Below are 25823 nucleotides of genomic sequence, written 5' to 3' on the forward strand. Positions count from 1 at the left end.
AGCCTAGAGGAAGCATCTTTATCTAACTTGTCCGCTCAGAGAGGTGCTTTTTTCTAATTCTTATGAAGCTACTTCTGGCCCTGATGAGGTTGGAAAAGGGTAAAAATAGAAGCAGTCAGATCATTTGCAGTCACCAGGTAAGAGAGGATGGTGGTACATGGATTCATGGGTAGTGAAGATGGAGAGAAGTGGGTAAACTTAGGATATGTCTTCAATTGAATTAAGGGGATTTATTCAACAGACCCAATAAGTGCCTACTCTGAGCCAGTCCCATGTGCTAAGGCAAGAGATACAGTGATGGATAAGACATGCCCCCACTCTAGAATTTTTCATGGTCTATGGGTTAGGTAGATGTGTGAATGGGAGAGTTCCATGCCACAAAGTAAGTGGTTTAATAGAAATGTGAACAAAGTGCTATAAGAGTCCAGAGGAGAGAGCAGTTAAGTCTCTAAAGAAGAGACAGGAAACTTAAGGCAGGTAGCAGTGTTTGGGTTGGACCTTGAAGTACAGGTAGGAATATTCCAGGTGAAGAAAAATGCAAAGTGAACTTCAATGGAAACAGCATGTGCAAGAGCATGAAGACAATGAGATGTGTTGAGGCAAGTGGGTAGATGGGGTTAGATTAAGAAGTACCTTTAATGCCTCTTTAGGGAGTAGGTTTCAATGTAGGAATTCTGAATCTGAGCTGTGGTATATTAATCCGCGGGTACAAATACATCAAATGGAATAAGTTTAAGTGTTTCTTGGCACATTTGAATTTCAAATGTTAGTGTGCAAAAGAATTACTGTACTACGTTTACTGCATAGTATCTTTTGTTTTTTTTCTCATAGTAAATTTTGCTCTTTGTGATTTTTCTCATGTCATGACGTTAAACTGTAAATTATCTTGACTTAAGATGCAACACTATTTACTGAGTGGACACTAGTGACTTAGTGCTAGATGTTGCCTACTACATTCTTCAAGTGCTCTAGAAAATTCAGGGTGCCAGTTAGAATTCTTTTACTTTCAAGAAAAAGAAAACTCAGCTTAAGTGGGCCTAAACAATACAGAGATAAATTGCTGCACATTCTTAGAAGTACAGCTTCAGTATATGGCTCAGGCAGGGCTCTGACTTTCTTTGTCTAAGGTTTCCTCCACTCTCTTTTTTTGTGTGAGGATTGGGTATCATTCTCAGTTCATTTTCAGGTGGTTCCTATCTTGACAGCAAAAGAGTAGAGAGCCATGACTGGAGCCACCTGCTTCCTTGTCTAAATCTGGGAAAGGGGAAAGTCCCCTCCTAGGAGACTCAAACAGGATTCCTGAGCTTCACCTTGATTAGTCTCTGAGCCCCAGGCTGGCTGGTTTAGTCTTAGGTTGACTGAATTTCAAGAGAAATAAGCTTACCATGCCAGCCTGAAACAAATTCCTGGAGCTGGAGGTCTGGTCAGTCCACCCAACCTTCATGGGGAGTATGGAACAGATGTTATGGAGGTGATCACAGGGTCCCTCATGGTCATATGAAAAAATGAAACCCAAAACAACAAAATACAAAGCCTTGAATTATTTAGGTAATTGGAGAAAATGTCATGGCATGTATTATGTAATGAAAATTTTAGTGAACAGTTGAGTATGTGGATGGTGTTGGGAGAAAAGTGCATTAAGCATTTTTGTCTGAATTGAATAGGGGTTGAAATGAAGATAACTTTTGAACTAGTTATGAGGAAAAGGTTTCCTAAATTAATAAATAAGAATACAGAAAGGGTTGAGTTTATGAGAGCAAATTCTTTGCAAATGATCTTAAAAGATGTATTTATACGTAAGTGTCATATGTTGTACACAAAGTACAATGAGAACACTTGGACACAGGGTGGGGAACATCACACACCGGGGCCTGTTGTGGGGTTGGGGGAGGGGGGAGGGATAGCATTAGGAGATACACCCAATGTAAATGACGAGTTAATGGGTGCAGCACACCAACATGGCACATGTATACATATGTAACAAACCTACACGTTGTGCACATGTGCACTAGAACTTAAAAGTATAATAATAAAAAAAACCAGAAAAAAAGTACCATTAACCGTGCATTATGGCACCAACGTCTTCTACTTGACAACATGTGGTTAACCTAGTTCCAAATATAGTCTTACCAGAAAAATATTAAGAACTGAATTTTACTTCAAATGCTGTGTTAAGTAGAACTTTTGTCCATTCAGAGGTCCTCTCTTCAGTAGCTGAAATCAGTAAACTTCCTATGGAAAACTTGGGCTGTGGTCTATTCCTGCTTACCAGATGCCGAGGAATGACGGTAGTGATGTTGCAGTCATCCACACTTGGGTTCAGTTTCCTGCTCTGCCTCTTGCTAGCTGTGTGACCCTGGGCAATTTATTTGGCCTCGCTGCAGTTCAGCTTCCTCATTTGGAAGGTGATGATAACGATCACCTACAATAGATGTAGTTGTGAGGATGAAATGTGGCAGTGCTTGTAAAATGCTAGCACAAAAGGGTGCTCAATAAAAAGTTAGCAAATATTAATATTGAAAACTCATTTATGAGAGTCTTCAGCCCAGATTCTCTTCTCTTGGTTGTTCCAGGCACAATTTATCCATCTGCCATGAGCAATGAAATGAACAAAGAGCTCACTCCTGATTTGCCAATTCTAGAGCTGAATTTTTGGTCGAAAGATGGGTGTTAGATAAAATGGTGTTGTGGGTGGGTAGGTGATGGTGGAGCTCCCATCTGTGGATTCAGGTCTCATGCTTTTGCCTCCCTAGCTATGGAGAATGAAGGGAGCAAATGGATATACATGTTTTGTTCTCTCTCACTCTCCCTCAAATGTCATTTTTCTGTGTTCCTTTGGTTTTTGAAAGGAAACCTGAGACCTTTTGGGGTTGTTATAGGTCTGATGCCCAGATGCTCAGATTCTGGGTTTCCTAGTCTGATGGTGGAGGCAGAGTTCCCCATATTTGAGCCCTACCCCTCCACACCAAAGCCTGCCTCAGCCAAAAGCGGTGGGTGGTCTTACCATTCTCTCAGTGTTTTGGGAACCGCCCCACCTAGGCACACGGAGAGAGTCAGAGACGCTGTTAAATTCTCCCCTTCCCTGGGTATATGTGCTTAAGCTGTTGCCAGAAACTTAATGTTGTTTTAACACATTTTTGTGTGTATGTGAGAATCCATTTTCCAGGACTGCTGATGGAGGGCATGTACCCCTCTATGACTGAAAGCCAGCTGAAGACTCAAATACAAGGTTTATTCTGGAATATGCAATGGTGGTTTCTTCTCTCTCATCCTCCTTCACTTGGGCATCAGTTCTTTTATCTTTGGCTTGAGAAAAGAAAACTAATATACTCTAGATGTTTTTCAAAACTAGGGACACTTCAAAACAAGTTTAAATATAAATGAAATCAGTTTCCAAATGTCTTGTTAAAAAAAAAACACAGATGTTTTATATTTATTTTATCATTTTTGTTTTATCACCTTGCAAAATTTTACAGCATGGAATTTTATTCAATGCAGTGGCATTTTGAACAGCAATATTAGACAGATGTATTTGCACCATATTTGGGGACTTTTTTTTCTCTTTGGCAGGATATTAAAAGTGAAACTAATGTAACCTGGTGTTTTGGGAAATGTGGACGAGGCATTTTGCTTATTGGTAATTGAAAACAACAACCTTCTCCTCTCCAAATGTACCCCTCAAAAAAATAAGCTTTATTGCTTGGATAAGTGATTAAACGTTTTTAGAATGCCAGAAGTTCAAATGAAGCCACTTTAAGGAAGACTTGGCTCCTCAAATGCAGGGACTGTGTCTTTTGACTTTTGCTGGATGGTGCCAGACAGGACCTAACCAATCATCCTGTTGATTTGTTGCTTTTGTTGTTTTAGGATTTTGTAAGGACATATGGCACAGATACAGATCACAATACAGCTAAGAAATGGAATTATTTTCAGGCATAGTATAAATAAGCCAAATCTCACTTTTTTCCTTCTACTTTGTACCCCTTAGCTCCACCCCCACCTCCTTTTAATTTGCTTTTTCAGGATAATCCATTAGTAGCCTTAATGAGGGAATGGGCTGGATATTCACAACTGAATAAAATGCCAGCTTTTTTTTTTTTCCCCACAAAATTTTCCTTCTACAGGCACAGACAGGTTTCTAGCTCTTTCCTAACCAAGCCACAGACTCTCTGTTGGTTCGCCCACCCTCCAGGTCACAACAAAATCCCCTATTAATTAAACTAAAATTATGTCTGAAATAAATCACTCAGTAAAAGAAACCCACTATGGCATTTTTTTTTCCTGAAGATGTTTGCAATAATTAATGAAACATTTGGTGGCTGGTGACATTTTTGATAACTCTTAAAGTGCCAGAAAATGTTGACATATATGTAATCTCCATGGACTCGAGACCAAGAAATCAGATGATTAAACAAGGGCTGAATAATAATTTTTATTTTTTTCTAAAGATCATGTTGCTTTTGGGGGAGATGTAGAGGAAAGGGTGGTGGAAGATATCTTTTGAAGAGAAATCCAATTTTTCATCTCCATGGTATAGTCTTTCTCCTATCTAAAGTATTTCCAGTCCATCCAAAGTTATAAGCTTAGATACTAATAGGTTCACCCAGTGAGTCTCAGCCTGGTGGGAGGTTGTGTGGTACAGAGTTACTGCAATGGTTTGTGAATCTATAACGGCCCCAGGCATTGCAGAGATGCAAAAAATAAATATACTTCCCATACATTCTTTCATTCAATACATGTATCTTGAGGCTCAGCCCACTATATGCCAAGCTCTGTCCTCAGCACTGAGGATTCAGTGGGGGAATAAAACATGCCAAGTTCCTGTCCTTCATGGGGCAAAAAAGCTAGTGTAGGGACAAACAATAGAAACAAAAATACAGAATATAATGTCGGGCAGTGTTGAGAGCCACAAAAAAACCACTGCCAGGCGAAGGGATAGAGAGGTTGCAGACATGTAGAAGGGTCAAGGAAGACCTTTCTCAGAGGTGACATTCGAGCAGAGACCCAGGTGAAGTGAGGAAGAGAATTTTGCCAACAGTGAGGGAAGAGCATTTCTAGCAGAGGGATTGGCCACAACAGAGGCCAAACGTGGGCCAGTCAAGTGTTGGGTGCATCCAGGAATGCCAGGGCTATGTGCCTGGCTGCCCCAGGGAAAGGTTACGAAGATGACAGGTATTCAAATTGGGTGCCATGAGGTGGAGCATGGCTGCTGAAAGTCCCTTCCCACATCCAAGCCCTTAGCATCTAACTGGAGAAGGCAGGACCACTTTGCACATCTTACAGAGGGGAGACTGCAGTAAGCCACTCTAAGCAACTGAGTGACAGATGTGGCCTAGGTCATACAGCTGAGACTGGAGCCCAAAGCCCTGGCTTCCACAAGGTGCTTTTTTTCAAAATGGATTTCTACTTCCTGTTAAGGAGTCAGTCCAAAGGCAGAATGTGATAAAAATGCTCCACTCCCCCTTGAGTACTGGCTGGACTTAGTGTCTTGCTTTGAAAGAATAGAGGGAAAAATCATAAGTTTGCACAGGAGGAAAGTGGTAGAAACTGCCTTAACCAAGTGATGGGGGGAACATCTTCAGTGATGCTGTGTGGATCTCTATCATGTACCTCCTGAGGCAATGGGAGGAGAGGGCACACACCTCTGTGATATTCTTCCCCCAAACCCCAGTCTAATCACAAGGAAACCTAAAGTGAGGGCCATTCTATAAAACACCTGACCAGTACTCAAAAGTAACAAGATCATGGAAAGCCAGGAAACTCAGATAACTTATGCAAGAGGAGACAAAGGAGACAACTCAGTGCAGTCAATTATCCTGGATTGGATCTTGGAACAGAAAAAGGACATTAGGCTGGGTGCGGTGACTCATGCTTGTAATCCCAGCATTTTGGGAGGCCAAGGAAGGTGACTCGCTTGAGTCCAGGTGTTTGAGACCAGCCTGGGCAATGTGGTGAAATCCTGTCTCTACAAATTATACAAAAAAAAAAAATTAGCCGGGTGTGGTGGTTCATTTTGTAGGCCCAACTATTCTGGAGGCTGAGGATCACCTGAGCCTGAGAGGAAGAGGTTGCAGTGAGCCAAGATTATGCCAGTGCATGCCAGCCTGGGTGACAGAGTGAGACCCTGTGTCAAAAAAAAAAAAAAAGATGTTAATGAAGAACTAGTGAAATCCAAATAAGCAATAGTAAAAAAAAAAAAAAAATGGATCACGTTATTTAACACTTTTTTTTTTTTTTTGAGACAGGCTCTCACACTGTCACCCAGGCTGGAGTGCAGTGACAGGATCTTGGCTCACTGCAGCCTCGACCTCCTGGGCTCAAGCAATCCTCCCATCTCAACCTCCCAAGTAGCTAAAACTGCAGGCCCGCACCACCACACCTGGCTAATTTTTTGTTTATTTTTTGTAGAGATGAGGTCTCACTATGTTGCCTAGGCTGGTCTCAAACTCCTGAGCTCAAGTGAAGCACTAACCTCAGCCTCCCAAAGTGTTGAGATTATAGGCGTGAGCCACTGCACTTGGCCCAAAATAATGAATCATGTTATTTAATAAATGTTTCTTCTGTTCAATAGTGGGGAAAAAAAATCCACCAGCCATGGTGGTTTGGAGGTTACCTTAGAACCACAGATAAACTTGTGGTATCCCTTTAGACTGCTGTGGGCTCCAATCCATCTCTGTTGCCATGGTCTGATCCCCAAGAGAGGGGCCTTCGAAGGTGGGTGAGGTGCTGGGCACCTTGAAGGTGCTTTTTAAAATCCTGATGGATTGATTTCAATGTCTGTCGTGTAGCATACAATAGGACTTCTCTTCTTCTTGCCCAGCAGTCTTCTGCTTCCAGAACAATTGGAGAGTGCAGGTAAAAAGGGCCTAATTAATGTACAGGGACTGAGGGAATTAAATATCCTTAAGACTTTTTAGCAGAAATGATTGACAGAAGCAACCCTAAATTACGCCCATCCATCTTGCTAGTCTGCTATGCCTCACACAGTGGACCCAGGTTTCCAAGGGAGGCTGGTGGAGATGTGAGGGGGCAAGAGGCACTGCTGGGAGAGGGGCTTCCCAAGCCTGGACCCCAGCAACCAGGGTTTAGAAACAGATTTTCCCTACCCTACTTCACCATAAAGGCTGGTGTTTGTTGTAGATGTTTGAAAATCACAGTGAGTAGTAGGAAGCAGGCTTTTTATGGGAACAAAAGAAGGGTTTTTCTTTTCTTTCTGAGACAGGGTCTTGCTCTGTTACCCAGTCTGGAGTGCAGTGGTGTGATTATAGCTCACTGCAGCCTCAAACTCCTGGGCTCAAGCGATCCTCCTGCCTCTGTCTCCCAGGTAGCTGGGACTACGAGGGTAAGCCATCACGCCAGGCTGATTTTCAGTTTTTTTGTAGTGACAGGGTCTTGCTATGTTGCCCAGGCTGGTCTTGAACTCCTGGGCCCAAGCAATCCTCCTGCTTTGGCCTCCCTAAATGTTGAGATTACAGGCTTGAGCCACTGTGCTCAGCCAGAGTTATTGTTATTATTTTTTTTAAACCATCAGTGTCTTGTGTGTGATTCTGCTGGGTGAACAGTTTGCTCTTCAAAGGGACTGAATGAAGGCAGTTAGCTGATGGACAGGTGGCTTTCCCCCAAGGGGAAACTCAGGGACCATTCCCGGTCACTCTCCTCCCATCCATCTTCATTTCCTGAAAGAAAGGATCTAAGAGGGCCATTCAGCAGGTAGAGGCTACCCCAGGAGACCAGAAACTTGGCCTGTAGTTTCTGTGTGTGCAGCTCTGCAGCCCTAATTGTCAGCTTTCTAAGGAGCTTCTCTGGGGACAGAGAACTGTGTCTTTTCCAGATGGCCCCTGAAGCTAGAGTGTTGTGGAGACACATAGTCCTACTGGTCAACCTCACTCTGTCTACCCCATTGGAGTGGGAAGTTCCAAACAGCAGTGATGGAAAGATAGTACATCTTGCCTGATCATGTGGCCTGGAGCATCAGGAATGATACCCAGAGGAAGTCTCAGGTTTCCCTCCAGTGCAATCTGCCCTTCTTCTTCTGGCTTTCCCACCTCAGAGCAGTGAGCTGACTATATTCATTCTCTGCTCATTCTCCCACCCTCCCTCCTTCTAGAATCAGCAGTGGGGCTTTGGACCCAGATACTTGAGATCCAATCCTGGCTTTTCTACTTTCCTACTAGGTCACTGAAGAAATTACTTAATCTTTTCAACCTTTATCTGCAAAATGAGGATGAGAAAACCTATTTCATAACTTCTGTGAAGTTTTCAATGGTATAAGGCAGGTTTCTCAGCACTATTTACATTTTTGGTCAAGTAATTCTTTGTTGTGTAGGGGGCTGTCCTGTGCCCCGTGGAATGTTCAGCAGCATCCCTGGCCTCTTCCCATTAAGTGCCAGCGGTAACCCTATCCTCATTTATGACAACCACAAATGGATCCAGGCATTGCCAAATGTTCTGGTGGAGGATGAGGGGGCAAATTGTCCCACAATGAGAAACACTGGCCTAAAAAATTGAATGCAGGTTGCATGGCTTGTAGCACTTAGAGGTTGGTTGAGGCTAACTGCTTACCTTCTCCTAGATGCCATGGGGCTTGGGGAGGAGGTGCATTGCAGAGTTTCTGCTTTCTTGACATTTTAGAGTCAAAGTGGGAAAAGGGACAATGTCAGATGAATAGATACAGAATGCAGATTACGGTTAGGATACTGGTTCCTTGAAACCATGGCATTGAATGCCAAGATTGTTGGATGGTAGGAGGAGAATTTAGAAATAACCTAACAATGGGAGAGATACTTCAAGAAAATTGGAAGTAAAGACCAGGGGGAAAATAGAGCCACAGGAAGAGTGATTCTGCTGTGGTAATAACTTGGCTGTTCATGATCCTGAACATATCTGGCTCCTGATTTAAGGGACAGGCTCAGCCACAAATTCAAGGGCAGGCCTAGATTCAATGACTTCTAACCAGATATTCTATGCTCCTGAAAAAAAGATCACTTTCATTAGAGAAAAATATCTTTTGATAAAAGACTAAAACATTGAAAAATAACATTGCATTTGCATATTATGGGTTCCCCACCTGCAGATTTGACAATGAAGAGTTATTTTTATTGAATCTTTCCCAACTCTTTCCTCTTTATAACCAATAGGGAAAATAATACTGATGTTTGCCTCTAATGACTACTGTGGCTTTTCTATAAAAATATTTCCATGGATACCAAGGTAGAATTAAAAAATGATGCAGAAGAAAGAAAATATATAACTGTGGACTTTAGAATTGGTGTGGACTTAGTGATCATCTTTAACTCTTTTGTTTTAATGATGAAGAAACCAAGCTTTAAGAGGTGTTGTAACTTGGCCAAGGTCACTCAGCTTAGTAGGGTCAGAATCTTCAGTGACTCAGTCTATCTCTCATGCTTCAAATCTTTCTTTTCTGATCTGCTTTCAGTATTTTAAGGAAGAGCTTTAGGCTCTTGATTTAAAAAATTTTTTGTATTGCTTTTAAAAAAAATCCCTGAAGCAAAACCCCATGAAATACTAAATAAACTCTGTTCCCATTCAATAACTCATCACTACCCCTTCCCCAGTCCCCACTTTCTGTCTCCAGGAATCTGACAGTTCTTGGTACCTCCTGTAAGTGGGATCTTAATACTTGTCCTTTTCAGTTTTTGATTTTAAGTTCTTTGGTGTGTTGGTTCTGACTTTTAAGTTTCCGTTCTAAACTTCGTGGTTGTAAAGGAGTCTTCGAGTATTTCCAACTGTGACTGTTGATAATTTTTTCCTCATTGTTACTCTTGTCTCTCTCACAGGATCCTTTTGCAGGGTAAAAGAGTAGCCAGCAGCAAGCAAAAGCAAAGAAGGGGACTTGCTGTCTCTGAATGGGAGGGCAAGGGACCCTCCCTCTGCTTTCCGGATCCCTGAGAGGACCCACGGGGTGACTGTGCTCACCTAGACACTGTAGAATGAACCAGGCCCTTTTTGGTTTTCCAGTAACCACCACAGTCTAAGTAAATCCCTTCCTGCCAGAAGAAAATATGAGTTAAATTGAATGATGAGTTTAGATACTGCTTAGTGTTCTTAATTTTTTTTTAAATTGTGGTTTTCTATCATTTCATGTACACTCTCAGAGGCCGCTCTATGACGGAAGTGTCTTAAATATTAAAAGCAAATAAATAAATAGAGGATTATCTTTTGAGCACCTGGCAGTTTTGTTTAGATTTAAGGAATCTAAGTAGTTAAAATTTCTAGTTTTCCTAGATCCTGTAAATGCAAATGTCAAACAGCTGCCAAAGTCATCAAGCTAGCTAAGGATTTAACCAGTTAGGTTTGTCACATTCATTCAGGGTTAGCCTGAATCTAACTTTGTACATTCTGACAGGTTAATCTTTACTCTCAGAGACCTGAATGGCAAGCATTTCCTCCCTCTGGCCTTCCCAGGATCCCTCTGGGCAGGTTTTGCATGGGCTGCCTTCACTAAACCATGGGGGAAGGCAGTCCTTGTGCTGGTGCTCATGGTTGACCTTGTGCCTTGTGGCATATGCATGTCCTGGCACCAGACAGGAGTGTTTGCCAGTCACTGGTGGTCATCCTGTGGGAACATCTGGCTGCATGCAGTATATTCTGTATCTTGGAAATGGACTACTTTGCCAGCTGGAAAAGCCACCAGGCACATTGTTTCAGCCAAAGCTGTGTCTGCTCATCTATGGGCCATAAATGCTCCAAACTCTCACATCTCAAAGTGGAGCTTCCAGATTCCCATTGCTCTCCGGGTGACCCATATGAAGGCTTTGCCATGTGTCAAGATGCAGGCCTTGTAGCTGGCCATTTATTGTTTCAAATATCATGCATTAGCCTCGAGACTCAACATCAGTGAGTCTCAACCCTGGTAGCACACTGGAATCATGTAAAGAGCTTTAAACAATACCACCTGGGAGATTCTGATCTAATTGGTCCAGGGTTGGGGAATCTGGGGCAGCTGATTTTAATATGTAGCCAGGTTTGAAAACCACTGTTTGAAATTCTTGCAACCTATTTTCAGAGCAAGGCATGCCTGCTTCTTGTCTGTGCTGGTGATTACAATGATGACAATGATGAAGTTGATCAGAGCTAACATTTATTGAAACTTACTATGTGCCAGATCCTATTATGAACACTTTTACATGCCTCATTTCAGATTACCTTTGCCACAATATTATAAAGTGGATGCTATTATTGTCCTTATTCCAGGCATGTGGAAACTGAGGCACAGAGGAGGTAAGTCACTCTCCTAAGGTCACCCTGCTAGTATGTGGCTCAGCCTAGGAAGATCTTATGCTTATAGCCACTGTACCCATGAAGGATGATTAGGCTGTTATCTGGGTACCTCTCTCTGAAAACCCTCAAAGGTTCAGGAACCCCCAGTCTCCTTGGTTACAGCATTGTATGCTATTGTCTCTTTTCCATTGTGGAACTGGATGTGGACATTGCCAGACACAGAGAATGGGCACATCAGAGTGCAGGGCATAGCTCCAAAGGTCTAGAGCTTTACCAGGGGCCTATAGTGTGTCTGTGTTGGTAGCTCCTGCCAGATGGAAATACCTGCAGTGACTTCTGAACTTAAATGAAATGCTGTTAGAAGGAAACATTAGGGAGTGATTGAAGGCAAGGACAATAATGCTGAGGTCTTTTCCTGGCATTGCATTAATAAGAGAATGTGTAAACTCAGCTGGTTCCCTTTAACTCTTCCTTGGCTCTCCTGTGGCTGCTTCTAAGGGTATCAGGCTGGACTTTGCAAACCCGTTCTCTTTGGGGATCACTGCACATCTCATGTTGTTTTGCAAGCTGTTGGGCTGTCCAAAATGCCAAGCATTTTTCCTATGGAAATGTGCTCTGTATGGTTCTGATTAGTGCCCTCTCTTCTGCTTAATGCCTTCTTGGGCTGCTTTTCATTTCCTGCTGCTTCCTACAGCTCTGGTTATTGGTCCAGGCCTACCTCCTCTTGTCCACTTAGTATTATTCTCCAGGTGGGGCCCCCGTTTTCCTGCTCTGTCCCATGATGCTCCCGGTCCCACTGACTCTTACTTACACACTCCTCCTGCACACCCACTTTGCCTGTGAAATCTGTGAAATACAACACAACTTGCCACTACTTTCCTCCAAACCTTAGTCATGCCAGGAGAAACAAAGAAATCACTAACGATACAGTCAGTTCTTCACCATCCTCAGGCTAATTCTTATCTGGTGGTTTTGTGGAGAGTTTTCATTGATTAATTTATTCAGTCATTTGCTTATCTATTTAGGGACCTCACTTGGGTGGGGAGAATGTATTCTTCTTTATGCTGCCTCAAGAACCGTGACACCCCATGCTAAATCCTAATCAGTGTGAAGCCAGTGATCTTTAAGTAGGGGATCTCTACATTCATGACATAGAAATCAGATGCTAAGGTCTTTAAAAACTTGGCATTCTCTTATATCAGAGCCAACCCTTCCTCCTGTGGCTTATGGATTTTTCCAAGCCATTCTTTTCTTCTATCAATTTCATTTATCAAACTGCTTGGTGTCCATAAGGCAGATGACTGGGGGAAGTGCAGCCCTGATTAATCAAATCAGCTGTTTCACAACTCTTGCTATGAGAGGTGATGTCAGACAGGAAGTTCAGCTCTAGGCACACTTGGGTTTGGAGGTCAAATGGGGGTGTCATTTATCTATGCCAACCCCACTGCCCTCTGCCCTCCCACAAGTGCTCTTTGCCCTCACCCAGTAACCTAATTTGCATTTGAAAAAGAGCAGCAGTTGCAACAGTACCTTGAGTTCCAGCCTTCAGCCAGCCTGGAGAGTGCATCAAGAATTTGGGTGGGCATCTGCTGGGATTCAGCAGTGTGCAGAAGATGGCAGGAGGTCAGATCTCCTTCCCAAGCCACCGAAAGTGTTTCTCAGGAGGTCAGAAGCAAGAATGTTGGTGAGAAGGGAAGGCAAGGAAAGGGTGAAAGGAAACAGAGTAGAAGAAAGCAGACTTTCACAAAGGAAAGTTGCTGATTCTGTCTGTGATCAATCACGCTTAACAAAGGGGCCAGTGACACAGCCTTGTTCCCCCCAGAACATCGCCATTCTACCATCCAAAGCCTATCAGAAGATGCTGACATTAATTTCAATGAATGTCCCTGTTCTTGCTGGCAGCTTTTCCCAACATGGATGGTGCTGATGAGCTGACGGCAGTGATTTTTTTTTTTTATTTCCTTGATGTGGTCTTGGGTGGTAGGAACCACCTTTGCAAGAGGCCACCCATTTTCCTACATACATCCCCAAAAATGTCAGCCTCAACTATAAAGCTGAAAAAGACATTTCACATACATAAAATATGTAATTAAAATGATGAATTATTGTAAGATAGAATATTAGCCTTGTGACATTTTAATCTGAACGCAAGAGCGAGGGAGAAAGAGAGCACAATCTGAAGCGCTCAATTAAATTTAGAATTTCCCCCCTCCATTGTTATGAATAAATAGAAAAGATTCTGTAGCAGCCGGTGGAATTATTAATTGCAACTAGTGTAGAAGGTGCATGCACCATATCATGAAATGGAATATCATTGTTAGTGACTATATTTCTTGGTAATTAAGGCCCAGACTAATGATGCAAGTTTTCTCCAGCATGATTTTCATCTGATTATGAGGCTGCTTCATTAAGAGCACTCAGCCTAACGAGCTGTAGCTGTAATAAAGTAATTTTCTGTCTTGTGCTCTGATTGATAAAGAGTTTCTATAGCTAAAAGGAATTGAAAATATAATTATAATTAGAAATGGTTGAATAAAGTTATTACAGGATTGCTGAAGGGTAGTGCAATTGACACCATAATGTTTTTTTTGGAAGTGCGCATCTTAAAATTAGACTTTATAAAGCAACAAAACTCCTTTGCTAATAACTGGGCCGAATGTTGCTGCTTCCATAAAATGAACATTTAGATTAAAGGAAAATGAGACTTTCCCACATTGTTCTCGACAAGAAAAACATATGCAAGAAGAATGCCGTCGCCTTTCTTCCCAGCATTCTTCCCTCGTGAAGTAAAGCTTATGAACATACTTTTTACTCCATTTATAATAATTTTCCTTCTGCCATATGTTGGAAAAAGATCTTTTTGATTAAACTGATGTCTTTTTAAGCATACAGTATAATTTTGGAGTTTCTCCTTGCCAATGTGCAAAGAGTTATGCTGTCTTTTTATATATTTATATTTATGAAGCAGTTGGATTTCATATAATTTTTCAAATTGTGTAGAGGGTTTTTTTTTCTGTCTTTGCCATTCATTGGTTGAAATCAAAATGTAACTGGGGAGGATACAAGATTCTGACCCCCTCCCATGGGAAATGCTAATCAACTTTTTATCCTAGAAACCTTATTTCTTTTTATGATGTTCACATTTATAAACCATGAAAACTCCGTTAGAGCAGTCCTTGGTGTGTATGTCATTAGATATGTCTGCAATATTGACATATAAGTCTATGGCAGTGGTTTTATTTAGAATTAGCTGATAAACTTTGTGCTTCAAATTAGTTTCACATATTTAATTTAGTCTCTTTTGCCTTATTTTAGCTCCCTGCACTGCATGAAAAACATGCATATACTTTAAAGCTATATGGTTATGTAAATCTATTTTATGCAAACTTACCCAGACATTATTAGGTCTGGGCTAAAAGGAGGAGTGGATATTCCTCGATCCACACTTTTGATGGATTATTTCAAAGCTCCATTTTTACACTGATTCTGACAATTGGAAAGACTTTGAGAATTTTTGAGAATCATTTCCAACATATCATAGGGTAATAAAAGCATGTTATTGGAATACCATTAGTAAGATTAGAAAGGAAAAAAAGAGCAGAATTTTATTGGTTGTTCATTGAAAATGTTAGCTGTGATTAGTTACATAATCCTACATTAACCTGTAAATTAAAATTCCTTGGTGCAATTTGATGGCTGATTTAATTTTGTCTTTCTTTGTTTGCCGCAGGCTAATTCCATTATGAATTCTTTATACAGCCTTTTCCCTCAATGATTAGCAGCTTCTACTCAAGTTCTGATTACTATTGTACACTTAGCACTACATAAAGCCGGGGATTAATATTCCCCTGAAGAATTGTTGCTATGGATCTGCTCTATTCCTTCTAAGAGATGTTTCTGCAGCTTCAATTGTCCATAAATTATGATCTCTAGTGAATTATCAGTGGGAGTGAACTGAGCTTAACAAGCTGAAGAGTGCACTCTAGTTCGGAGAGAAAAAAGGCAAGGGAGAAAGAGAAAAAGAGATGCTCAATTATTAATTGTGAGGTTGGATCATTCAGAAGAAGTGATATTTTTTCCCATCTCTATCCTTGCAGACATGTACAAATTAGAATGAGGTTGTGGGTTAAAATAGATGCTTTAAAATCTTTCAATATGTAGTGATTATAACATGCCAGAAGGTCTTAATTACCTGTAAACAGGAAGAGAAAATGCTGGTTCTGCTACCCAGTAACATAGCAGGGTTATAGGGTGGGTTTTATTTTGAGAAGTGGCATAGTCTTAATTTGCAAAGTGTGATTTCTCCATCTATCAGTTTAGGAATATGTATTTGGGTACCATTGTTTTAAAACATCACTGGGAATAGCAGAATGCTCAAATGGAGTCGATACAAGGATTTTTCAAAATGAGAAAAGTTTTTCTCAAGAAGGTGGTATTTCCAGATAAAGTTGATCTGTAGCTTGGGAAGGGTCCCAATTTTGCTGGGACTAAAAATCAGGGTTTAGATCATTCTTGGGTATGCTTCTCCTTGGGAAGGACATCACAGGGGGGCGTGTGCAGTGTGTGTTTTGAACCTCAGCTTGGATAAACCCAGCTATCCGTTGCTTCCACTCTATAGCACTGTTTGCTGGATGGTGCAACATGGGGCAGAAGCCCTTACTGGCTCAGACACTGGGACTGAGTTTAGCCAGAGAAACCCACTGGAATCCGGTGGAGACCACCAAGCTTGCCGAATTGCTTGCTTTTACCCACACGTGTCCCGAGCCAAGAGAAATAAACATTTGAATAATATATCATGTAAAATGATTCTCTTTTCTTTCTTCTCTCTTTTCCTCTCAATTAATTTCCTTCTTCCTTTTTACTTCCTTTCTCTTCTAATTTTCTCTTTCTTCCTTCTATTCCCCATCCTTTCTCTACTTTAGTCTTCAATGTTCTTTTTTGGGTTTCTCTTTTTCTTTTTTTATTCCTCCCCCAGCCACTCTTCCCCAAAGAGCTCCAATACTGAAAATATGCTGGCATTTTAAAGTTAGAGCAAAAAGGTGAATTATATTACTACTTGGAAGCCAGCTAAGGGCAGATTCCTGAGGGAAGTGAGATAAAATAACGGAGTCTGAGAAATGCACTTAACAGAACAGACACAGTGGAAAGAATCTTTTCCAGGAATTATCACTTCCCGGTTTTCCAACTGCAAAGCAACAAATCATATACCAAGTCAAGGCAATGCTGTTATTACGGAAGTGGTTCCTTCGAATCATTCTGAAGTCAGAGTCTCAGATTGTACTGAGTAGTTCCTGGAAGAGGAGGTAATGCCCACTTTATCAGGAGCCTGGTTTCTGCAGCACAATTTGTGACAGTTTGGGTACATTCACACAAAAGTACAGGTATGCACACACTCACACACATATGCATACACACATGCAAATCCATGCAACACTTCTGAGCGTGAAAAGATGTTATTAGTATTTAAGCCAGGACAATAGCCATAGACAAGACCATGCTTGGCAAACAGGTCAATGGTCACCTTAGCTTTAGTGAAGGATTGCAGTCAAGGTCCCTGAAGATGAAGACTCTCCCACAGTCCTGTGTTCCCATGTTTGCCTTTCCTTTTGGCCACTGGGAATCTGAGCTTCCCTTTCATGTTTGAGGAATTCGGCACCTGATGGATCTTGTTAGGAGTCAGGGACTGTTCCCCACTTTTTACTGAAACCCGTTTGCTTCTAGGGTGCAAATATGTGACCGTGGTTTGCCCAGAAGATACATCTCCGTGGGACTTGGGCTTGGGGACTAGTGATGCCAAGAAGGGGTCTCTGAGGAGCTGCCTATAGTTTCTGGGCTCAGCAGGGATGGCAGTCCCACAGCAGGCTCCCGATCCCAGGGTTGGGGTGTGTGGTCCAGGTGGACCAGGACTGTGTGAGATCTTGAATGCAGTTCCTAGGCACATAGTATCCCGGTCTTCTCTTCTCCTACTAGAGATTCTGTGAACATTACTCTCTTATCATCAAGGAGTTGCCATGAGAATTACATATGAGACCATGTGGGAGTCAGTTACAGCATACTGGTCAAAGTACACTTCTGCATTCCACAAACCAGGTACCTGGGGACTTGTATTCCAGGTGCAGGGACCTGGGAGCCAGTGAAGAGTGGCCAGAGAGTGGAGGAGACCACATCTTCTTTATTACATAAAAATTCAGCTACTTTACTCAGTACTGGAGGTAGGAGTGGGGGACCAGGGGCTAGCTAGACTGCCCTCCTCAGAAGGTACAAGATCTCTGGGAGCACTTAATGGTATGTTTCTCAGCAAGACATCCAATGGCATTTTAGACAGAAAATTTCTATTTTGTGCATTCTTGTTCCTGGCCCCACCCATTACATGCTAAATGCCATTTTTGATCTCCCAATAGTTGTGACTACCCAAATCCTTCTCTCCACCCAATTCCAGACATCTCTGGAGAGCATCAAACCCCAGATAGAATCATTGAATTACTACTGTATTCTTCTGATCACATACAATAGTCTTTCCAAAAAGTGTTTTGACAAGCACATTTTTAGCCATTTCATAACATTTTTAGCAACATTCTGTGTTCTGGTGATACTTTAATACACTTTACAAATCAGTCCCTGCAGTCTACCTTCTCTTAATCCACCTCTACTTAAAATGGGTTTGGAGTAGGGTACCAAAGGAGGCTGAGTGATCACAGAGTTCATCTCTACTTGATTTGACAAACAACCCATCTTGAAGCCAAATTTCAAGGAAAAAACCCCACTCAATGCTTATTTTATTTCATGTAGTAGCATTTGCACTTAGTGGAAGTAAGTGCTATTTTGGGAGTGACTCCTCCTCCTAGAACCTTTTTCCCCAGGGACTTGGGCGCAGTCCCCAGGCAGGAATCTGGTCCACTGGAAACCCCCAAGGCAATATCTGCTGAGTGAGGACAACTCTGGCCACCGGAAAGGGTTTGTTTCGTATTAAATGACACCTAGGGTCTCAACTTACAGCATGCTGGAAATCCAGAGCCTTCTCACCCACGTGCTCATGTGACTGTTTTCCCAAGTTATATGGCAAATTATTCATACTTGGTAGGCAGAGTGATAGAAGCTTAAAGATAGAATTACCCGGTTTAGCTGCTTTTCTTTTCCTTAATAAGGGAAAGAAGTCAGAAGTGTTGAAATGACTTATCAGATCATCATCATAATAGCAGCTCACATAATATTCTACTCTACTCATCATTATTTCATTTATATTTGGATAAGGCTGGTTTCCATGCTGGTTTTCTTGTAGTCTGCCTAACACGTTTTTATAACTAATGTATTTTCTAGTTAAAGCATAGCTCACAAATTAAAATTCTTCTAGCTTTTCACCTTGGGGGAAAGAAATGGCCAGGTGTGGTGGCTTATGCCTGCAATCTCAGCACTTTGGGAGGCTGAAGCTTGAGGACTGCTCGAGGCCAGGAGTTTGAGAACAGTGTGGGCGACATAGTGAGACCCCCACTGCTACAAAAGATGAAATGACACTGCTCTAACATTAACCATTCTAAGTATTAGCTCATTTGAGCCTCATGACAGTTTTATCAGGTAGTTATTATCATCATCACTGTTTTACAGATGAGGAAACGGAGGTACAAAGAGATTAAGAAATTAACCAATATAAATCATAGAAATCGCAAGTGGAAGAATCAGGATGTGAACTGTGGACCTTCAGCTCCAGTGCCTCCATGGCTCTCGGCCATTATGCCATTCATCTCGGGAGGTGGAAACAGCATCTGAATCTGAAGTTTGTTTGCTGTGAGGTGTAATAGACTCCTCTGCCTTTCTCTCTCTCCCTCTTTCCTTCCTTCCCCATCAATTACTTATCTCTCTGTAACTGAAGCTCCTCGCCACTGAGACAGCTCCGCGGTGCTTCCTGTCCCTGCTTCCTTCACATCCTCACTTTGACGTTTACATATCCACTGCCTCTCAGTTTTTACTGCTGCCTTTCTTGCCAAATACAAATAATGACTGTTCTTTTTACTGCTCCTTGTTTCTGGTGCGGCGGGACAATGAGGGGAGCATAGATCAATGTTTCTCAGAGCATGGCTATGGCGAACCTTGAAAAGAGGGAGCCCTGGTAACAGGCCCAGAGGTAGAGGCAATTTCCTTGCTCCATTGATGTCTCTCCCAGGGGCGAGATTCTCAGTAGAGGAGCCAGCTCTGGATTCAGAAGAAACAGTGATGGTTTAAATGGTGTGTGTGTGTGTGTGTGTGTGTGTGTGTGTGTGTGTGAATAATACTCATTCAGTGAGGACACAGAGGTCTCAAGCTAGGTGATTTCCTGAATAGCAAGCGCAGGGGCACCAATGAAGGCATAATTTTAAGACATGAGTTAAATATTTTCCTGCTCTCATATTGGCCAGTGTGAGGGAGTGAATGAAAACCCCAAATGAAAGGGACCCACATTCTATGGATGCCTTCTCTGGCCTTTTATTTCCTCTCTATTCTAGCTACAGCTCAAATTTGCGTTTGAGCCAAGGAGGCTGAATAATTTTCCTTTGCCGAAAGACTAGCTGTCAAATTCCATGCAAGTTGATTCTGCTGATTTGCATGAGAGGAAATATAATCTGATGAAGATGTAAATGTACACAATTGTTTTCTTATCTGTAGGCTTTCTGTTTCTTATTTGGAGTCTGATTTAAATAGTCCCATTTCAAGTAACTTAGAAAGGCTTAATGCAGTGCCAAATGATTACATTTTCAGAGACTTGTTGTTGGTTAATTCTGGCTTTCCTTCTCCTATATCAATTCATTTTGTCATGCTTAAAACAAGAACTTTTGAGCATTTATATTAAAAATATTATGGGAGATAGGATGCAAAGGTAAATAAGAAATGGGCCCAACCTTCTAGAGCTTACAGTGAAACACATTTTAAAATGCATTTTGAAGTCATTTGAAATTTGGTATGAATTTGCCATATAAGCAAGGTTCTAACACATTGCAATTGTATAACACTTTATTGTTTACAAAATACTATCATAATCCTAGGCAAGACAACAAAAACTTCTTTAACCCCTTATGTAGTTGAAACAATACAAGTGAAGACCATTTTAAGTATTATTTCTCAGTTCTGTGAAAACCCAGAACTACCATGTGTGAGATCTTGAGCTGCTTCCACTTCGTTCTGCAGTGGAATTACCGAGGCATCAGGACATGAGCCTGAATGTTGGGCGAACAGCATCAGTGAGTCCCAGCTTTTGCAATCTCTCACTTCTGCACATTGTAGTTGATACCCCTAAACTATCTTTTGTGGGTCAAATTTGGGCTTTCTTACAAGAGCCAATAGGAACTTTCAAAATTTTGATGTTGCCTGCCAGCATCTTAACAGTTTCAATCTCTAGCTGTAAATATGTTTGTCTATGCAATTATTTAGATATTTTATCTAATGTTCCCCCTGATTAGTTAAAACAAATGTCAAAAACAGGAGAATGCAAATGTGTGGCTTTTATCGAGTGAATATAAATGAGATGGGTTGAAGCACTTTTGCCATGTTGTAAGTGGAGACCCTACTCTCTCATTCGGCCTATTACATCAGGTAAATGAGCGTGTTCACCTGTGAAAGAAAAGAAGAAAATGGTAAGACACATGGTGTGATAGAATTAGATTGTTAAAGATTGTATATGCAAGACAAAGTAGAGTTAGGATCTTTGTAAGATTATTTTTAGCTTCCTGAGAACAGAACCTGTAGCCAAGTTTACGGTTTTGTTTGCTTACCTTTGACTCTGAGACATATTTCAAAGTCAGTGTGGATGGAATTAAAGATTTCTATGACTGCATGGGTAGAAGGTATTCACTATTTGAAGACGGCAGATGGTGATAGTGGTGGCTGGAGTATTTGGCTACAGAGAAATAGCAGAGTAAGGAAGGGGACAAAGAGGAAGGAGGGCAGTGTGGCCTAGGTCAGCAGCAGTAGTGTACGGGGAGCTTGAGAGGAAGGGGACAGGGAGTGTCCAGCTAAGGGAGGCACTTCTATAAGCGGGAGACATTAGGAAGTCATACAGAATGCTTTACATCCTATTAGTGACAAGGAAGCGATGAGATCATGTTTGATGGTGGATCAGGAAGGCTTCAGGGTATGTATGACATTTAAGCTGAGCCTAGAAGAGTGCATAAGATATTTTTTTCCAGCCAGAAATCTGGGGGAATGATATGATGAGGGCAAATGGGATGAGATGAATGATGAGAACAAAAGTGGAGAGGTGGCTGGGCGTGGTGGCTCACGCCTGTAATCCCAGCACTTTGGGAGGCTGAGGCAGGTGGATTACCTGAGGTCGGGAGTTCGAGACGAGCCTGGTCAACATGGTGAAACCCCATCTCTACTAAAAATGCAAAAATTAGCCAGGCGTGGTGGCAGGCGCCTCTAACCGCAGCTACTCAGGAGGCTGAGGCAGGAGAATTGCTTGAACCCAGGAGGCGGAGGTTGCAGTAAGCCAAGATCATGCCACTGCACTCCAGCCTGGGCAACAGAGCAAAACTCTGTCTTAAAAAAAAAAAAGTAGGGAGGCAGGAAATGTAAGCACCTGTTTGGGGAACAGTGAACTGGTGGGCAGCAGTTATAGGTCGGTTCCAGGTTCACTGAGGAAAGAAGAGAATGATTAAGCTAGAAGGCTAAGTTTTGGCCAGGTCAAGGAGGTTCTGGAATTCCAAGCTAAACTGTGATTTAGATTTAATTTGTTAGCTGCATAATTTGGTGGTGGAATCCCTGAGACTTAGGAGGAAGGGGAAGCAGTGATAAAGCTCTTGTAATCGTTCAAGCAGAAGTTTCTAAGGACCTGATTCACTGAAGTAAAAAGAAGAATAGGATGCAGTGATGGATTCAAGAGTTAGAATAGGTGTGATTTGGCAAGGACAGGAGAAGGGGAAGGAGTCAAGAATGATTGAGTGAATGGGAGATTGGCAGTATTTTAATAGACACAGTTAAGAGAAAGGGTGAGAGGGAGGAACGAGATAAATTTTAAAAGTGTTGAGTTTGAGGTGGCTATGGAATATCCTGATGGAATCCTCTGGAGTATTTGGTGGAATTGTAGGCACGGAATATGGAAACAACTTCTTTGGAAGCAATGGCAAAAGTAATGGGGATAGATGAGGTTTTTCGATGAGGACACAGAGAGCAGAGGTTCAAGGACTGTGGTTCAGAATTGTGGGAATTTACGCTTTTAGGATTTGAAGGAGGAAGGTGAACCAATGAAGAGAGAAACAGGAGAATTAAGTGCAGTGTAAAGGATGACAAGGAAAGAGCAAGCTTCAAGAAGGAAGTGGTAAGCAACAGGACACAGTGCTGAGAAGCTGTTGAAGTGGCTATTAAAAGTCACCAGAGACCCTTAAGTGAGTGGGTCCATTTAGAGCGATGCTGCGATTGATGCTTTCATATTAACTTGAACGCCTCTGCAGTACAGGGGGCAATGCCACTGCTTGGAGTTAGGTTAGGGGGTTAAAAATGGGGCTGTACATGCAAGTTCAGAAGAGCCAAGTGGGGAGATTCATCAGCAGTGAGGGGCCAGTATTGGGAAACATCGTTGAAACTGAATTCAATTAGCATGGTTTGAGAACTTTTTTCTAAAAATGTTTGTTAGATTAAAGTAAATGGTGAGTGTTTCAAGGGTCTGGAGAGTGGCAAGGCAGTTTCAGTGGGCGGTCAAAGAGTCGAGGGACTCTAGGGTGCTTGCAAGGGAGGAGGCTTCAATGCCTGGCATTGGGCCCCGCTGGGCAGTAGGGCAAATGAAACTGGGAAGTGTGTGAGGCCCTTGTCCAGAAGAAATTAAGATCCAGGAGAAAGGATGAATGGTTGGCTGTCATGATAAGGGCAAGGATATATTTAGCAGGAGTGAGCATGCACACAAGCAAGGACTATCCAAAGGAGGGAATTTCAGGGTTTTGGACTTTTTAGCTGGGGTTAGTTTACAGTATTGATTTCCCAGGTACTAAAGTAGAATAGGGATGAAATTTCTGGGGTTCCACAGGTCTGGGAGGTTTTAAGTCAGTGCTGAAAGGATCATCAATATGTATTTCTTTTGACAAAAATATTATTTAAGTCCACTCAGTGTGAAATATTATGCAAAATGGGTAATAATATACCAATTTACAAATGTGGAATTAGTTCCTAGAAGTATTTAATCAACTTGTGTGGAATCATCCATGTAGTGCATGGTGAACACAAACTTGGGAATCTGTCGTTTTTGAAGCCTCTGTTTTTTCCTACCAAATTACATTTCCTCAATAAGTTGATGAATTTTCCAAATTTCTAAAATTTTTCCATTAGACCTGCTATAGAAAATAAGTAACTACTTTCCACAATGGATTTTAAGTTACAATATAAACACCATATACTCTAATTGACCTAGGATCAATGATCAATGTACTTTATTTATGGACATTTTCTTTCCTGAAAATACAATTAAGATACTTAATATTTGTGATAAAGCAGCTATCTGATAATAATCAATATGGATTCTGAACTCCTCAGAGTTAAATGCAAGGGGCAGAAAAGGAAGGAAAGAAACTACTATTTACTGAGGGCCTACTATATGCCAGGCAGTGTGCCACATTTTTTTCATATCTACTCTAGCATTTAATCCTCATAACATTCCTATATTGGTAGGTAATACTGCACCCACTTTATATATGAAGAAGCTGAAGGCTTGTAAAGTGGCCCAAGGTCTTCCAGTGATGACCTGCCAGAAGCAAGCTATGAATCCACGTCTCACCCCAAAGCTGCCTGTGTTCTTTTGTGAGAAGAACAACAAGCTAACAGTTCATGTGATCTTTTGGGTCTCCTAGGGGTCAGTACACAATGGTGACCAGAATAGAGATAGTTTGCTATAAGTAGGGAGAGAAAATATGTTGTTAAGTGGGTGCATTGGGAGAGAGATCTGAAAATGGAAACGTGGAATCAGAGGTATACTGACATCTCACACAAAGATATTGGGATGTGTGAAGGGGTGAGTTTTGAGGGGCTATCATGGGAAATTAGAATCCAATTAAAGGGAAATAGACATATTGGAATGGTTTAGGCTGGTCTCAAGAGGAGGTTTCAACTTCCTTATTGCCTTCCACCCAATACAAATATGACACTTGTTTTCATCCTCTCCATTTCTGCTCTCATGTTTGCCAGGATCAATACCCAAGGATGGGCACTTCTCTAAGAGCTGTGATTGAGCTTGGTAAGTATTTCAGGAGCAATTCAAACAGATTCTTTTGAATCCTGAAATGTGAAGTGATAGCTCTTGCATCTCTCAGTGGAAGGCAAGGGTTTAGAGTTTTGTAGAAAACTGACCTAACACTTAATTCTCCATTTCACATTGGCAGGCCAGGTACAAGGTAACTTTTTTTCTTTCTTTTTTTTTTCAACTTTTATTTTAGATTCAGGGGGTACACGTACAGATTTGTTACCTGGGTATATCGTGTGATACTGACATTTGGGATATGAATGATCCCATCACCCAGGTACTGAGCATAGTATTCAATAGTTTGTTTTTCAACTCTTACCCCTCTTCCTCCCTCCCCTTCTAGAAGTCCCTAGTTTCTATTGTTGGCCTTGTTGACACAGTGGGGGCTGAAGATAACTGCCCTTTGTTATTATTTGTACTATTTTACCTTTTAGATTTCCTAACTAAGAACCACTTGTCCCCCAAGCTGGGCATATTTATTTATGAACCCTTAAAGGGGCTGATGTGAAATTCTGAAGATTTTCTGTTAGTCTTGACACTATGAATGGGGTTATTTCCTGGGCATGAATAAGAAGTGGTTGACATCAGTGAGTGATTAACCGGATCCTTGATGTTATGTTTTCTGGTTTCCAAAGGGCTGTTTCTATGAGGCTGACATCTATAGGGACCAGTTAAGGCCAGCTTCGGTCAAACATTATGAAAAGGGGTTTGGCTATTATTCAGATAGCACTGGATCTGTGTTAGATCTTTTGTTCTTAGTGAATTTTTCCTTATGCAACAAATGTATAAACAGTGGATTCTACTTTAAAAAAAATTGTCCTCTTTCCTCCTAGGGAGAAATTCCTTCGATTTTATAGTTGTTGAACTTAGAACTTCTGGACACATTAAAATCAATTCCACACACTAAGATGCATTTTAAGAGTTATTAAGTAGAATTTTTGATCATGTTTCTTTTCTACAGATACATTAGTGTTAAAGGGAAACATCATTTCTGGCTTTGAGTGGGTGTCCTACTTTGTTTCTGGTGATTCGCTGGGAGATAGGCCACCAAGAAGCATTACTTTGTCCTCTCAGCTAGATGGTAAAGATCAGCCAGGTGTGGAAAGATCCATTCATCTATTCAGGAAACAGGTACTGAGCGGTTGCTACTTGCCAGGTGTGTTCTGGAGCCTGGAATTACAGTAGGCAACAAGCCAGACAGAAGTCCTTGCCCATGAATTTCTGGTGGATGAGGCAGACAATAAAATAACCAACTAAGTATATAAATTATCATGAAGTGTTGGGGAGTTGTAAGCAGTATGAAGAAAAGCAGGTAAAGGTGATAGAGAGGGAGAAGAGCCATAATTTTCACAGAGTGGTCAGGGAAGACCTTTTTGAGGAGATGCCATTT

At 41.6% G+C, this 25823-nt stretch overlaps 1 long non-coding RNA gene across 2 annotated transcripts in view, besides 1 other annotated feature; it reads left to right on the forward strand.

Moving 5' to 3' along the window:
* Positions 1-25823, forward strand: part of LINC02934 (long intergenic non-protein coding RNA 2934) — a 298411-nt gene that overhangs the window by 61177 nt on the left and 211411 nt on the right. The window lies entirely within an intron of this gene.
* Positions 12904-14567: an enhancer, noted in NCBI's record as "HHc2:065944". NCBI's record gives its function as "enhancer in rhombomere, hindbrain" and the evidence as "EXISTENCE:transgenic organism evidence [ECO:0001131][PMID:22448256]".

The sequence above is a fragment of the Homo sapiens genome, chromosome 2, assembly GCF_000001405.40.
Source record: "Homo sapiens chromosome 2, GRCh38.p14 Primary Assembly".
Lineage (NCBI taxonomy): Eukaryota > Metazoa > Chordata > Mammalia > Primates > Hominidae > Homo > Homo sapiens.